General features: G+C 52.9%; 2 long non-coding RNA genes across 3 annotated transcripts, besides 1 other annotated feature; one reads left to right on the forward strand and one right to left on the reverse strand.

The window, feature by feature from the left end:
* Positions 1–771: 771 nt before the first annotated feature.
* LOC124901149 (uncharacterized) lies at positions 772–2887 on the forward strand. Its single transcript, XR_007059083.1, has 3 exons — positions 772–1260; positions 2252–2455; positions 2816–2887. It is a non-coding gene; the product is annotated as an uncharacterized LOC124901149 (long non-coding RNA).
* LOC107986494 (uncharacterized) lies at positions 2376–6285 on the reverse strand. 2 transcript variants are annotated; one of them, XR_001743041.1, is made up of 2 exons: positions 5877–6285; positions 2376–3095 (listed from the first exon to the last, which is right to left on the reverse strand). It is a non-coding gene; the product is annotated as an uncharacterized LOC107986494 (long non-coding RNA). The 2 variants fall into 2 exon arrangements; XR_007059082.1 differs by lacking the exon at positions 2376–3095 and adding an exon at positions 4871–5269.
* Positions 14341–14842: an enhancer, noted in NCBI's record as "H3K4me1 hESC enhancer chr5:178814001-178814502 (GRCh37/hg19 assembly coordinates)". NCBI's record gives its function as "activates a minimal SCP1, AML or CMV promoter by ChIP-STARR-seq in primed H9 embryonic stem cells {active_cell/tissue: H9 hESC(primed)}" and the evidence as "EXISTENCE:reporter gene assay evidence [ECO:0000049][PMID:30033119]".

The raw sequence follows: 17067 nt of genomic DNA on the forward strand, positions 1-17067 counted from the left end.
GACTTTTAACTTTTCAGAAATCTTTGTAGCTCCTTTCCTGTTTTATCTCGCCCATTGATTGAGGAAGCTGTTGGCTCATTTCATCTGGCATATTTTTCTTGTTTTACATTTACGGTGTGTTGTTTTGTTTCCATCACATTGTATTTTGAAGAGTCTTCTCTTTCTATTTGGCCTTGTCTGTGGGTGGCAGCGTTTTTGGAGGAAGGGCCCAGGTTTTGGAGCTGGGCAGACCCTGACTCAGCTATAGCTCTGCCAGGCTGGTAATTTTTTGGCCTCTTACAGTCACTTTAAGTCTCTGAGCCTCAGTTTCCTCCTATTAAAAATAGGAATAGTCATACCTGTGGGAAGGTTCAGGCCTATTCGGTATTGTTCATTTAAAGCGCCTGGCACAGGGCCTGTCCATTATGGGGGCACCGTCATTGCTAGCACATGTCAACGCCGGCACCAGGAGCGTGGGCTTCTGCTGTGTCCCAAATTGTGAGACCAGTGGTCTTCTTTGTCTTCCCGTCCCACACCTGAACAGCTGTGAGGAGGGTCTCGACCACATGCCAGGAACCTCAGTGCTCCCCCTCGATAAGGGACAGAGCTGTCCACACCACCCCTCGCCCTCTTTGGGACGCTGCGCACTCTCGCAGTGGTAGGGCGGAGAGCTGTCAATCAAATGCAGTGCCTCACCTCCTGCGGCAGGATTGGACGTTCGGCCCAAGCCGGACCAATCAGCATCCTTCCCCAGTGCTTTCCGACTGGACCTAAGGCTTGAGGCACATTTCCTCTTGGAGGAGCGGCTCTGAAGCGAGGGTCTGCCACTGTCGGGAGCCTAGAGGGGAAGAAGCTGGCCTGGGCCAGGCCCCAGAAGTGGACGAGAGAGGGTCTGGACATGCTGCGCCTACTGCCGGGGCCCCTTGGACGCAGCAACAGTTTGGTTCTAAGAGCCCGTCAGCTGGTCTGAGCCAGCTTCTGACAGTTGCAGCCAAGAATCCTAATTCAAACGCCCACGGCTCTGCCAGGCCGCCAAGATGGGTTCCCATAACCTGAGCTCCCTCTCCAATTCAGACAGACTCTGGAGGGCTCCCCAGGGAACACATGATTGAGCCCACTTACCAAGCCGGCAGGCTTCTCTCTCCAGGAAGGCACCAAATTTTCATGGACCAGCTCACAAGCTGGAGCCTGGGGTGGCTCCACACCCCAAGCAGGCAGGCTCCTTCACACAGGAGGACACCCTGGCAAGGGGTGCCTGAGAGCAGGGCCCCACAGGCCTGGGTGAGTAGGACATCTAGGTGGCTCACGAGGACGCTGCATATTCTGAGTCTCAATCCCTAGGAAGGAGACCAGGGTGTGTTCTGGGAGCTGGGAACAGGGCAGGGCTGTGGGTGTTGGGGTACGAGGTCTGCACCCAGCCAATCAGCGTCGGGGTCCAGGGTGTGTGCCCTGTCCCACTGCAAGAGAGGGGCCGAGGCAGGGAGCCAGGACACAGGGTACAGAAGGCATGCAGTCAGATGGATGAGGCCAGCAGGGACAAAGGGAGACACACCAGGCCCAGGGCTGCGGCAGGCCCATCAAGGGACTCTCTGCCCCCTCAGAAGTGCCCTCACGCTGTTCGGCAGCCAGGCATAGGTGGAGAGTCATGGTCCAGTCAGGCGGCCCCGACTTCAGGTCAGAGGGCACGGAGGACGTCCGGGCAGAGGACTTGGAGGACGTCAGGGCAGAGGACTTGGAGGACGTCAGGGCAGAGAGCACAGAGTACGTCAGGGCAGAGAGCAAGGAGGACGTCAGGGCAGAGGACTCAGAGGGCGTTGGGGCAGAGGGCACAGAGGACGTCGGTGCAGAGGACTCAGAGGACGTCAGGGCAGAGGGCACGGAGGACGTTGGGGCAGAGGACTTGGAGGACGTCAGGGCAGAAGGCACAGAGGACGTCGGGACAGAGGGCACGGAGGACGTCGGGGCAGAGGACTCAGAGGACATCAGGGCAGAGAGCTCAGAGGACATCGGGGCAGAGAGCACAGAGGACGTCGGGGCAGAGGGCACGGAGGACGTCGGGGCAGAGGACTCAGAGGACATTGGGGCAGAGAGCACGCAGGACGTCAGGGCAGAGGACTCAGAGGACGTCGGGGCAGAGGGCACGGAGGACGTTGGGGCAGAGGGCACAGAGGACGTCGGGGCAGAGGACTCAGGATGTCAGGGCAGAGGGCACAGAGGATGCCAGGGCAGAGGGCACAGAGGATGTCAGGGCCCTCTCCTCTAATCATCTCAGGTGCTGTTCTCTATCACCTCATCAGGAGCAGGACCGACTGCCAAGGCCGCCGTGGTAGGGAAGTTTCTCCACAAGATTGTGCTTATACGTTTTGCGTTGCCATAAAAGAACGCCGGAGACTGGGCCGTTTATAAAGAAGAGAGGTTTATTTGGTCCACAGTTCTGCAGGCAGTACCGGAGGCATGGCAGCAGCATCTGCTTGGGGTCAGGGCCTCAGGAAGCTTACCCTCCTGGTGGGAGGGGAAGGGTAGCAGAGGTGTCCCACAGTGACAGATGGAGCAAGAGAGAGGAGCTACCTAGGCTCTTTCTAACAATCAGATCTCATGGGAATTCATTACCACAGGGAGGGCACCAGGCCATTCATGAGGGATTGGCCCATGTCACCCAAGCACCTCCCACCAGGTCCCACCTCCAGCATTGAGGGTCAGATTTCAGTATGAGATTTGGAGAGGACAAACATCCAAACTGTATCAACCACCCTACATGAACCAGTGCCTGCCTTTCTGACCTCCCCACTCACTCTGCTCCCCCTTCCCCACACTCCCCCTCCTTGTGCTTAAACAGGCCATGCAGTTCCCACCCAGATGGGAACGCAGAAGTGCTGAGAAGCCTCTGGCTGCTGAGAAGGACCGGAGACGCTCAGGCAGGGCTTCACTGAGGAGGGACATCTTCAGCTGGGAACAACTCTTCCACACAGCATCCATGGTGTTTGTCTACACTCCAGTTTCTCTACTGTCAAATAATGTCCTGGTCTGGCCAAGAGGGCACTGTCTTCTCATCAAGCTATGAGGGTCCCAAGGAAGAGGAGCCCAGCCAGGGAATGGGAGAAGGGGGAGGAGTCCAGCTGGGGGAGAGAAGAAAAGGGGGAGGAGCTCAGCGGGGGAGGGGAATGAGGTAGGAGTCCAGCCAGGAGAGGGGGAAAGGGGGAGGAGCTCAGCAGGGGAGGGGGGAAGGGGGAGGAGTCCATTCAGGGGAGGGGGAGAGGGAAGTGTCCAACTGGGGGAGGGGGGAAGGGGGAAGAGTCCAACTGGGGGAGGGGGAAGAGGGAGGACTCCAGCCCCTGGGGAGGAGGAGCCCAGCCAGGGGTGGTGGGGAAGGGGAAGGATCTCAGTGGGGGAGGGGGAAGGGGAGGAGTCCAGCCAGAGGAGGGGAAAAAGGGAGGAGTCCGGCTGGGGGAGGGGAAAGGGGGAGGAGCTCAGCCCAATGCCCCCTCCTGGGCTGTACTGCATGAGAGTGGCTACCAGCCAGACCAGCCATGTCTATACCACCAGGTCCCACCAGAATTGTGGACAGGCCGGGTGCAGTGGCTCACACCTGTAATCCCAGCCCTTTGTGGGGGTTGAGGTGGGTGGATCACCTGAGGTCAGGAGTTCAAGACCAGCCTGGCCAACATGGTGAAACCCCATCTCTACTAAAAATATAAAAAATTAGCCAGGCATGGCCAGGTGCAGTGGCTCACTCCTGTAATCCCAGCACTTTGGGAGGCCGAGGCGGGCAGATCACGAGGTCAGGAGATAGAGACCATCTTGGCTAACACGGGGAAACCCCGTCTGTAATAAAAACACAAAAAAAAATCAGTCGGGCGTGGTCGCAGGCACCTGTAGTCCCAGCTACTCGGGAGGCTGAGGCAGGAGAATGGCGTGAACCCAGGAGGTGGAGCTTGCAGTGAGCCAAGATCGCGCCACTGCACTCCAGCCTGGGTGACAGAGCGAGACTCTGTCTCAAAAAAAAAAAAAAAAAAATTAGCCGGGCGTGGTGGTGGATGCCTGTAATCCCAGCTACTTGGGAGGCTGAGGAAGGAGAATCGCTTGTGAACCTGGGAGACGGAGGTTGCTGTGAGCTGAGATCGCGCCATTGCACTCCAGCCTGGGCCACAGAGCAAGACTCTGTCTCAAAAAAAAAAAAGTGTGGGTGGCGATGGACCTGTGCCCCACTCTCCATCCACAAAGCAGTCCGGAGCACATGTCACCCCTATAAGGGAGCCACGGTGACCCTCAGGTGGAGGCAGGGGCAATGCTGCTCACAGAGGCAGCACCCACCAGGCCAGATCCAGAGACACTGGCAGGGAGACCTTCTAGAGCAGGCTCGTTGGAAGGAAGAACATCCCTGTCTTTATACACATTTAACCCAGAGCCGCCCACTCCTCCCCAGGCACCATCTAGATCCACAAGCAGTGAGGCAGGTTTTAAAGCCATCTTCTCACTCCTGTCTCAGGACCAGGAAAATGTCTCCTGCCATTTACATAACTGAGAGAGAAGCCCCTCAGGGAGCAAGGGAGATGTGCCTAGAGGAGGCTGCTGCGCCCGAAACAGCCGGCAGAGTCAGAGGAGCACAGACACATTCAGTCCCCGCAGGGCACCGCTCTGGTGGGGCACCTGTGCCAAGGCAGGCAGGTGTGAAAGCACGTGACCTGGTGGGGAGAGGGCCAGTGTTGGATGCCCGGGGTGTGTAGCTGTGTAGGGGCTGCGAATGCGGCTGGAAAAATGGGGGCGCAGAACTCAGCCAGCCTAAGGGTTTAGCTGTCACCCTGGGAGGATTTTTGTCAGGAATTCAAGACAAGGATCGAATGTCCTAAATTTGACCACAAGTCTTCCTTGTTCCAGGAAAGAATGCACCAAACCCTGCATGATTGTTTATTCACATCCACTTAGCAGGCTGGTGAGCAGCGTGCGGAGGAGGCGGCAGAACCAGAACCTGGACGCAGGAGAAGGACGGGGGGCACGAGATGGGCACAGGACGCCTCCCAATCAAGGCTGCTCTGTGGGTTTCAGAAACGGGACACCCATCCCTTCAGGCATCCATAGCGTGTGAACTGTAGGACTACAGGGTGCAGGTCACCCCAGAGCTCAGCATCCAAACCAGTGGGGCACAGCTTCGGCCTCCCACCTGCCCAGGCTCACCAGAGACACTGGCTGTGGGCAGAGATGACCTGGAGCCAGGAGCCAGGAGCTGTGGCGCAGCGGGTAGAGGCCGGGCCCACCGCCATGCCATCGTGGTGAGGCTGTTGCCAGACCCCAGCTGGAAACAAAGATCCTCCAGGCCCAGCCATGGAGGAGGAAAGAGGTATTAAAGGATGGGGGGTGGTGGTGAAAATGTGCAGAGGCCCCAAAGCCTCCTTTCCAGCCAGTGATGCCAGGAAGCACCAGGGGCAGCAGCAGACAGGCCATGGTGTCCTCTGAGACTGGGTGAGGCTCTATGGCCCGAGTGCCTGACGCAGAGCCAGGCACACAGGGCCACCTCCAGTGGATGTGCTTTACTCCACCTGCTCTCAGAACCTGGAGCCTGCATTTCCCTATTCGTTGGACGGTGTGACAACCCCCAGCTCCATAGCTCAGTAGTGCAGGTCAGTGTGGTAAGGGGGATTCAGTGCCCAGCCCAGTGCCTGGCGCCCGGGGCTGCTCACCACAGCCTGGGGATGCATGCTTCCAGGTGCCACCATTGTCCTCATGGCTGGCACCCTCAGTACCCACCCCAACTCCTATCCCTGCACCCAGCACCCTGGTGCTCTCTCCAAAGCCTGGAATTGATCTCTTTATGTCCTTGCTGAAAACCTGCCCATGGCTCCCCACATCCCGCACTGTCAAGGGCAACTTTCTTAGCCTGACATACAAGGCCTGTTACTCACCCTGGCCAGGCTTCCTGGACACGCCATCAACCACAGCTCCACAAGCCCTCCTGTTCTCCAAGCACAGAAGCTTCACGCCCTGGTCTTCCCAACCTCTGTGTCACTGGCTGGGCTGGGGCCTTCATGCACCCCTCAGGGAGACAGCAGAGTAGTGAGAGCTTGGGCTTCAGACATGGATTCACATCCACCAACTCCTGACAGTCTCGGGCAGAGCAGCTGCCTGCCTGCTTCTCAGATCCCTGCTATAGAAAGCAAGGCCGTGATGACAGCGTAAAAGCATGCGTCGGCCACACACAGGCTTCCCACCACTGCCTCTGCCCTCCACACCACTGTTCCCTTTCCCCTAGTTCCCCCAACTGAACAATTTCCGGCTGGTTTCAATGCTGAGCTCTGGGATGACCTTCACCCTACAGTCCTACAGTTCACACACTATGGATGCTTGAAGGGACGGGTGTTCCCATTTCTGAAACCCACAGAGCAGCTTTGATTGGGGAGCATCCGGTGTCCATCTCGTGCCCCCCGCCCCCGTCCTTGTCCTGCATCCTGGTTCTTGTTCTGCTGCCCCCTCTGCATGCTGCCACTGCCTCCTAAGTGGATGTGCATATTTTCCCAAACAATCATGCAGGGTCTGGTGCATTCTTTCCCAGAACAAGGAACACTCGTGGTCAAATTCAGGACATTCAATCCTTGTCCTAGATTCCTGACATAGACTAGGACTTAAGACAGTTATCGCATTGCATGTCACTGGTCCCAGGGATTTCTCAAGCAACTTTAGTGGGTCTAATCAGAGTGAGCCTCGGAGTTCCTGGGATGGAAAGTCCCTCTCTCCCGTGGGTGCCTTGGGAACACAAAACACTCTTCTCCAGGAGGCAGCTGGGTGAAGGTGGATGGCTGCAATGGCGCAGTTACTTGCCTCTGTGGTGGGCACCAGGCTAAGGATGAATCCAGTAGCAGAACCAAGAGAATCCCAGAGGAGGACTGCAGCTGGTTCTTGGTGACATCATTTGAATGGCTGGATCAAGCCTCACCTGCAGCCAGCAAGATGACCTCTGGACTTGTCAGGAACAGGAGCCCATCAATTCCCTTTAGAGGTGAAGCCAGTTTACGTGGATTTCTGTTGCTTACAATGCAGATGCATAGTGGACGCTGCTGCCTCACCTCGGCTTGAGCATGGCACACGTGCAGTCAGTGGCACCTATTCCAGGAAGCTCGCCTTGCGGTCATAAGGCAGATGTCTTCTTTGCCCACCCCTGTCCCATCTGCATCCTTGAATTCTCAAGAAAGAGACTATTTTCAGGCACCCTTGCATACTCAGAACCTTGGTGTTGTATGCCCAACACACACCAATGCCCAAACGCACACCAATGCCCAGCACACACCAATGCCCAACGCACACCAATGCCCAACACACACCAATGCTCAAACACATAAGCTGAGTGAATGGTCACTCCAGGATGCAAGCAATGTGAAATTGAAAAGTAGGTGAGCACGTCAAAGTTCAGCCTGCATGCCAATTCCTACTGAGCCCCTCAGCATCCAGGAGAATATCAAGGTGTACAAGAGGATTCTGAAGAAAAGAGTTTAGGGTGCATTTATTTGGAGAGAGCCTTTGCTATGCTGTGCATGCTCCCCTTCCAAGGAGGAAGCGTGAGGTGCGACCTCCCTCACCTCTAGCCTCCTGAGAGCGCTTCCATGGTGTCACTCAGAGGCCCTGTACACTGAGGGCTGGGGTCTGCTGATCACATGGGAGCCAGTGTCAGCCGAGTCGTCGCCGTGGGAGCAGACTGTGAATCAACTGCGGCACTGTGCGCGGCCTGCCTGCCTCCCGGAGTCCCGTGGGGCTGAGGATGTAGGATGCTCCTGGGGCCCTCAGCCTAAGCAGATATGAGGACTCCACGAGGGGGCTGCATGCAATGAACTTGCAGAAGAAAACTGAGGCTGAGGACACCAGAGGGGCCTGAAGAAGAGGAAACACATCAGCCCCATCACGGCATCTGCAGGTGAAAAACTCCAGCAGGAAACCTTCGAGGAACCATGGAGCGGCCCCTTGAGAGAGGCAGCTTCCCATACCCGCCAGGCCGACAGGAAGCCGGCCCACCTGGTGGCAAGGTGGGGCTCCAGATGGAGAAACAGTAAGGCGGCCCCACCATGAGGGGACATGCAGGCACATTTGGAGTGTAGGCCGTTCTCATGAGCTGGACGTCCTTATTTCTGAATGGTGTCTGTGAGAACCTCTTGCTTGAGCATGAGCTGAAAGGTGCTGAGACCAGGCCAGTTTTCACATGGGGAGGGCAACACCTTCTCCAACCAAATGCATTTAAGGGGCCGGTGGGAGAAAAGCCGTTGTGTTTCGATTCATTGCGGGGGGGCGTTTGCTCACCCGTCCAGATGAACATGCATTTGGCTCCCACCCGCTGTACGTGAATGTGCCTGTCCCTCATACTTCTGCCAATGTGGCATTTTACAACATGCATCTTTTTTTTTTTTTGATAACTTAATAACTGTGCAAGGTGATAACGCCTTATTGGTTGCCATATCTTTAAGGACTTACAAACTGAAACACTTCTTTAGACACTGGTTTTTGGTGTGTTTCCTTTTTTTATTTTTATTTTTATTTATTTATTTATTTTTGAGATGGAGTCCTGGTCTGTTACCCAGGCTGGAGTGCAGTGGCACAATCTCCGCTCACTGCAACCTCCGCCTCCCAGGCTCAAGCGATTCTCCAGCCTCAGCCTCCCAAGTAGCTGGGATTACAGGTGCACACCACCACGCCCAGCCAACTTTTTGTAGTTTTAGTAGAGACAGGGTTTCTCCATGTTGGCCAGGCTGGTCTCGAACTCCTGGCCTGAAGTGATCCACCTGCCTTGGCTTCCCAAAGTGCTGGGATTACAGGAGTAAGCCACTGCACCTGGCTTGGTTTGTTTCCTTTTAAACAACCTCTGTTTTCACTTGCTTTGAACACTTTATTCGGGAGAATTCGAGTCCTAACAAGCCCTCACACTGATATTAGTTCTCCCCATCATCTTTATGGAGCTTGTTATTTCCCATCTGTGGCTGCTTTTCTCTTGATTATGTCCCATTCCTTTATGTGGCTCTTACCCGGGCCCCTGCCACATGGCTGGGCCAAGGCACAGGCTCTGAGACTGCTGGCCTGGGCTCAAGACCAGTTCACATGCTGCTCCAGGATTTCAGGCCAGGTCCTTACCTCCCTCACCAAGGGCCAAGAGCCTCATCTGTTAAGTGGAAATAGTAGGCGATGGCCATGAGCAATAGCAAGAACAGCCTTCACAAGGCTCACTGCTCCACATGGCTGAGTGCTCCACGCGGCTCAGTGCTCCACGCGGCTCAGTGCTGCACGAGACTCACTGCTCCACGTGGCTGAGTGCTCCACGAGACTCACTGCTCCACATGGCTGAGTGCTCCACGCGACTCACTGCTCCACGCGGCTCACTGCTCCACGCGACTCACTGCTCCACGCGTAGCTTCTGACACTGCCGAGCATTTTCAACAGCTGTGTCTCGGCCTCACAACTGTGGCCTATGGTTCTCTTTCTTCCAGAGTTGAGATGACATGCAACTACTTTTCCTTGTAATTTTTAAAATTACCTTTTAAATCATCAGGAATTCATCGTGATGTCTGGGATATGATATGGATTAAAATTTCTTTTTCTCTAGATTAAAATCCAGTTTTCCCATCTACATTTATTTAATGGCTTCCCCATATAGAAAGAAATGACCTTGTAAATTCAGTTGCAAATCTGGAACTTGCTTGATGATTCATGGATTTCTTTGGACCTCTGCTGCAGAGATTTGTGCTGAAACCATACTCCTCGGATCACAGCTTTTGTTAACACAGATGTGTGTTCACAGACACCTCTGACTTCTTTTTTTCTACTTAATTTTTCCCGTCTTCTCATATCATCCCTCCCATGACCTCTAAAGGTGCTTACTCTAAGTCTGGTCTCCTTAAAGACGCATGCTTCCCTGTGAAGTACTCGGAGCACCACTGCGTGCGTGTTGTTGACTTGCACAAACAATGTCGTGCTCTGACTCTCTTCCATTTCACTTTTCTGTTGTATCGTTGCTTTTGAGCTCTGTCTGTAGAACTATAGAACAGCAGATTCAGTGTTTCCTCCCCTGTGTATTTCATAGTACACCGCAGCTTGCATCCACCTTGAACCTGGCAGTGAACCCAGAGTCCATCTCCAGCCCTGCCCTCAGAATCAATGCCACACATACAAAGCATAGCTCTGCACACTCCCTCAGGCATCCTGTGATCACCTCTCTAGCATTGCTGGGTCAGAGGGCGCATGCACACTCAGTCTTGCTAAATGGTGCCCAATTGCCCAGAGGAACGTTCCCGTCAGTTGTGCCTGATGTTCTGGCACACATCCACGTTACTATTTGGAACCACCCACCTTCTCAACATCACCACCCTGCTGGATGGACAGTGGCATCTCACTGTTGCTTTAATTTGCATTTCTTTGCCCACGGATGTGTTTGAGTCTCTTCGAACACTTGCTAGCCATTTGGGCATCCATTTCTGAAAACCACCTCATCCTCTCCTTTCTCATTTCTCTACTGAGTTGCCCGTCTCTTGGTATTGATCAGCAGGAGCTCTTTCTATATTCTAATAGTAATCCCTTAGCATTTGTAGGCGTCACAAGCATCTCCTCCCAGTCTGCCTTCTGTTGGCGTGGGGCTGTGGTGTTCTTTTTTTTTTTTTTTTGAGATGGAGTCTCACTCTGTCGCCCAGGCTGGAGTGCAGCGTGCGATCTCAGGTCACTGCAAGCTCCGCCTCCCGGGTTCACGCCATTCTCCTGCCTCAGCCTCCCGAGTAGCTGGGACTACAGGCGCCCACCACCACGCCCGGATTAATTTTTTGTATTTTTACTAGAGACAGGGTTTCCCCATGTTAGCCAGGACGGTCTCGATCTCCCGACCTCATGATCCGCCCGCCTCAGCCTCCCAAAGTGCTGGAATTACAGGCGTGAGCCACCGCGCCCGGCCGGGCTGTGGTGTTCTTTACTAAACAGATAGCCTTGATTTTGATTTAGCCAAATCCATTCTTTTTTCAGCCCAGGTTTGCATGTGGGGAGTTTTGCTTAAGAAAACTTTCCCCCGCTATAGGTCACAAAGATGTTATCCTGAGTATTCACTGATCAGCTCTGAAGCTTTCCCTTCCATCCGTAGGCCTTTAATCCAGCTGGGGACCACCTGGAATACTGGGGTGAAGTGGAAGTCCGGCTTCAAAGGGAGCCAGTTTTCCCAGCTTCATTCACTAAACAACCAGCCTTGCCCTTTCCCTTTGTGCTGCCACCTTTATCGAGTTCCTGTCTACCCCAGGTCTGTTTTGATCTCTCTGTTCCATGGTCCTGACGCCTGGCCTATGCTGTTCCCAGGACCACGGCCTCTGCAACACACAATGGCGCCTGCTCAGGAGTTGCCCTGCCCCTTCTCTGCTCTGTGGTTCAAAATTGACTTAGTTTTTTGTGTTAGGCCATTTGAGCTGCTATTTAAAAAGTACCATAAACAGGTTAGCTAATAAACAACAGAAATTTTTCTTTTTTTCTTTCTTTTTTTTTTTTTGAGACAGTCTCACTCTGTGGCCCAGGCTGGAGTGCAGTGGCACGATCTTTGCTCACTGCAATCTTGGCGTCCTGGGCTCAAGCGATTCTCCCACCTCAACCTCTTAAGTAGCTGGGACTACAAGCACGTCCCATCATGCCTGGCTAATTTTTTAATTTTTTAATTTTTTTTTTTTTTTTGTAGAGACACGGTTTCGCCATGTTGCCCAGGCTAGTATCCAACCCCTGGGCTCGAGTGATCCGCCTGCCTTGGCCTTCCAAAGTTCTGGGATTGCAGATATAAGCAACTGTGCCTAGCCTACAGCAAAAAATTGTTGCTCATAGTTCTGGAGGCTGGCAAGTCCGAGATCAAGGTGCTGGCAGTTTCTTTTTATTTTATTTTATTTTACTTTTTTTTTTTTTTTCAGAGTCTTGCTTTGTCACCCAGGCTGGAGTGCAGTGGCGCGATTTCGGCTCACTGCAAGCTCTGCCTCCCAGGTTCATGCAATTCTCCTGCCTCAGCCTCCCAAGTAGCTGGGATTACAAGCATGTGCCATCACACCTGGCTAATTTTTGTATTTTTAGTAGAGATGGGGTTTTACCATGTTGGCAGGCTGGTCTCGAACTCCAGATCTCAGGTGATCTGCTCGCCTCAGCCTCCCAAAGTGCTGGGATTACAGGAGTGAGTCACTGCGCCTGGCCAAGGTGCCGGCAGTTTCAGTGTCTGGTGAGGCCACGTCCTCATAGCCCTCCTCACTGTGTCCCCACGTGGTGGAGGAGGCAAGGCAGCTCTCTGGGCCTCTTGTATAAGGGCACTCGTCCCATTCGGGAGGGCAGCACCCTCATGACCTCATCACCTCCCAAATACCTCTCCTTTCCCATTTTTCTACTGGGTTAGTTTCTACTAGCCCCACTTCCTAATCCCATCACAGCGGGGACTAGGTGGTAGCATGTGAATTCTGGGGGAACACAAACATTCAGATTATAGCATTTGTCTTACACCTTGATCCTTCCACATAAATTCACAGTGAGTTTATTCATCTCCTCGACAATTCCAGCTGGAATTTTGATCAGGATTACATTTAATGCATAGGTGAATCTGGTACTGTTGGGAACCTGTAACATTAAAGTATCTCTTCGTTTAATAATGACTCAAGCTGTGTTCTTTTTTTTTTTTTTTTTTGAGACTGAGTCTCGTTCTGTTGCCCTGGCTGGAGTGCAGTGGCACGATCTCGGCTCACTGCAAGCTCCGCCTCTCGGGTTCCAGCCATTCTCCTGCCTCAGCCTCCCGAGTAGCCGGGACTATAGGCACCTGCCACCACGCCCGGCTAATTTTTTGTATTTTTAGTAGAGACGGGGTTTCACTGTGTTAGCCAGGATGGTCTCAATCTCCTGACCTCGTGATCTGCCCGCCTCGGCCTCCCAAAGTGTTTGAATTACAGGCGTGAGCCACCGCGCCCGGCCTACGACTCCAGCTATGTTCTCTACTGGAATGTTCAATTTTTGTAGAAAAACCACGTGCGTTCTTTGTTATGTGGATTCCAGGGTGCGTTTTAGGTTTTCGAGCATTGCAAATGGTGACCTTTTTTTCAATGTATTGGTCACTTTTCATTAATAACTTGTTCCTATGAAGCACTTCACAGTATTTTTGAAATATTAACATTTTTGTGGTACATTTGCCATATATGTTTCTTTACTCCATTTTTCAGTAAAGATAATTTATTTGGCTGCCAGTGTCTCATCATCGATAAGACCAGTGGAGGGTTTAGACCAGCTGTTTGTGGATTGTTTGAAGAGAGCTGTGTAAATCTGTAGTCCAGGGGAAATTCTCCTGTTACTTCAAAACTTGAAAGAGCAATAGTATGGTAAGTACTGATTCTCTTACAAGACTATGAAGCCAGATGTCTGTACTTTCCAGTGCCCAAATTGAATGAATAATAGAGAGAACAGCCTAATACAGCAAGGGCGGGGCTGGGCGTGGTGAAGCTCCTGCTTCTCCTCCCGGGCATGCTGCCTCCCAGCACTCTCTGCGTTCACCGTCCAGAAAACACCATGACTTAGTTTTAGTTGGCTGTGTCACGGGTGTAAAGAGAAGCTGGTGGGCCGGTGAGTTGGCCACATATCCAGCAGCCTTGCCTAAGCTCCCTGCTAGTTCTGTTATCTTGCCTGCTGATTCCATGGGTTTATGTGATGTTATCATCTGCAAGGAATGAGGCCCTATCTTTTCCCTTCTGATCCTGACGGGTCTTCTGCCACTTTCATCCCTCAGAGCCTTAGTCCACCCCCTTAGTAGTGGGGCCCATGTGGGCTCACAGTGAGAAGATTCATCTTCGCCAGGATTCTTGGTGCAGTCGGCTTTTGGGGTGTAGCAATTATGAAGTTAAGAAACTTTCTGTCTACTCTTAGTTTCCTGAGAGTTTTTAAAAGTCATATATAAGCACCAAACTGTGGTTTTCTCAATCTATGAAGATACTTGATATCAGCATTCTTAAAAATATATTTTAAAATTGGCCAGGCACAGTGCCTCATGCGTGTAATCCCAGCACTTTGGGAGGCCGAGGCGGGCAGATCACCTCAGGTCAGGAGTTCAAGACCAGCCTGGCCAACATGGTGAAACCCCATCTCTACTAAAAATACAAAAATTAGCCAGGCATGATAGCAGGCGCCTGTAATCCCAGCTACTTGGGAGGCTGAGGCAGGGAGGATTGCTTGAACTCAGGAGGTGGAGGTTGCAGTAAGCTGAGATATATGTATTTAAATTTCCAAGAGTGCACTTTTTTTTCAGTAATAGCTAAAAAAAAATCTAAGGGAACCAACTGTAGACACTGTAAGGTAACCAGTCAGGTAAGGATGGTAATGAACCAGCCTGGGCCACCAGCTCCACCCTCAGCCTAGCTGGGGACCCAGTGCAGGAGTGGAGAAGACTTTGGGTGTGGAGAATTAAAATGAGACTGCAGGAAGAGAGGGCATTTCTGCCTGATGCAGAGGGGAGGTGGCTGCTAGGGTGGAGAGGGCCTGTTGGTTGTGGCCAAGGGGGCAGAGTCCAGTGAGCCCCATGGCCTCAGGTGAGCCATTGCCTCTCCCCCAGCCCCACACTGTTACAGGACCTAGAACAGCAACCTCAGTGTGTCCTGCAGGTGGGAGAGTGGGATCAGGTCCTCTAGAGTGAAACCCAGGTAAGAGCTGGCGCAGGGAGAATTGTGAGCTGGCCCCGGAGCTTCCCTTCCCTCCCCACACAGCCCCTGCCCTCACTGAGCACTGGCCAGCTATAGACAAAGGGGAAAGCTCTTGGAAGACAGCAGTCCCCAGGCTGCTGGATCTAGAAGGTCTGTGAGGGGCAGGGCCACTTGGTTGGAGGCAGCTCAGAGTGGCCATCAAGCCTAGACTGTGGGGCTCACTTTGGGCTCTTTGCCCTGGGGCACGCCCTCTTCCCAAATCCACCGGAAACATCCCGAGCTGCTGAAACTAGTCCCCCCGACACAGTGCTCAGCCTCAGACAAGGTAACTGATCCCCCAGGAGACACTGCTGACGACCACCCACAGGTAAACACAGGTGTCTAAACCTTTGGAAACAGATTGCCTCAGCAGGGAATGTGCTTTCCAGCGGCCACAGACCCCGCCACTCCCTTTTGTTCAGCATCTAACCTGATTGATTCGTGTTTCACTCCTGGCCCCTCTGGGGATTTGAATTTGCAAGTCCCCAGAGGCCCAGTTTCAGGTTCCTCCTGCCTTTACTGATCTAATAATGGTGACAGTGTGATTTTGTGCACAGCATCTGCCCCGGGACAAGCCGCATGATCTCCGTTTAGGGTAGAGCTACTCCTTCTTCTCCAGAGCACCATACAGGGCGGGGTGGGAATGGAACCAGATGATGACCCTGACACGTGTGAAGCACCGTCTCGCGCCACTTTGAGTTTTCTTCCAGTCGCTTGCTACCAAAGGATGTCCTGCCAGAGCCCTCAGGAAAATGAATAGCTTCTGATGGAGCTCAGACAACCACATCAGAGCAAACCCCTCGACGAGTCTGTTTATTTAATTGCCTGGTGATGGCCGTGTGGTTAACCCCAGCCTGGTGAATCTGTGAGAGATGCACTGGCTTCAATCAAATAGTCTCCAAAATGTATTTAGGGACAAGACAGATGACACCAGGATGTTATCCTTCCCAGGATTTCATGTGCTCCCAAGGCCTGGGGAGAAGGGGTCACCAACTCAAATGTGGGTGACAGAAGCAAGTGAGGTTAGAGGTGGGACACGTGTGAGGAAAATAACATTGCCCACTCAACATATCTATTGTCCACTCAACATATCTATTGCCCACTCAACATATCTTTGCATTATTCTAACAGACATGGGTAGAGAGACTTGGTCAGGTAGAAATGAGAATAGCAGCATAAGTGTGAAGGTGAATGCAGCCGTCAGGCCAGACGCATGCTGCCACGGGGTGGGCAATCCCATGGGACAGCCAGGATTTTTTGAGAGCGGCAGAGAGGCTAACTTTTAAACGAAATCTTCCTTTTTAAAAAAAGTTGGCTTGGCCGGGTGGGGTGGCTCACACCTGTAATCCCAGCACTTTGGGAGGCTGAGGCAGGCGGATCACAAGGTCAGGAGATCGAGACCATCCTAGCCAACATGGTGAAACCCCATCTCTACTAAAAATACAAAAATAAATTAGCCGGGCATGGTGGCAAGCACCTGTAGTCCCAGCTACTCGGTAGGCTGAGGCAGGAGAATGACGTGAACCCGGGAGGCGGAGCTTGCAGTGAGCAAAGATCGAGCCACTACAGTCCAGCCTGTGTGACAGAGAGAGACTCCATCTCAAAAAAAAAAAAAAAAAGTTGGTTCTTTTAAAATGCGCGCGCGCACACACACACACATACACACACACACACGATGTTGGGGATTTCTCTCTCCAGCCATGATGGTGTGATTGGCACCACCCTTGTCCTTCTGCCTTCAATGGCTTTAAAAATGGGCAAAGTACTTAAAGCTAATGTTATCAGGCACTGGACAAGAGCCAGCCCCTGAAAGAAGGAAGCACATTTGGGTAGCCCATGCACACCCAAACTCCCAGCCTAGAACAGTCTCACCTGACCACAGCAAGGAGGCCGAGCCCAGCAGGCCCAGCAGAGAGAATGCAGGTACTGAGTTGAGGCAGAGGTTAGAGTTCTGGGCTGATGAAGCACCTGAAACTTAAAGAGGTGGATGACACAGAGGAGGGAATTATGTAGAGAGAGATTGCAGATTTCTGGCTGAGAGCTGGATGGCTCATGCGCAGGGGAAGACTGACAGACCCAGCAGAGAGCAGATGATGCACAGCTGGAGGCAGAACTGAGATACCAAAGTTCATGCCCTGCTAGGAGACATGGGGGTTCTGGCCCAACTGGAATGAAGAGCAATCTTTAAGACATTCGGCCAAGCCGCTATATAACCCACATTTTATGAATAAGGCCCACATCCTAGAGAAGTCATTCTCGATTTGGGGGTGGGCTGCTTTTTCCCCTTGTGACCATGTCTGGAGACATTTTTGACTGTCATCAGGGGAGGTGCTACTGCCTGCCATCTTGTGGGTAGGGACCAGACATACGGCTAACCATCCCACATTGCACAAGACAGCCCCCCCACCAC

This window comes from Homo sapiens, chromosome 5, assembly GCF_000001405.40.
Source record: "Homo sapiens chromosome 5, GRCh38.p14 Primary Assembly".
NCBI lineage: Eukaryota > Metazoa > Chordata > Mammalia > Primates > Hominidae > Homo > Homo sapiens.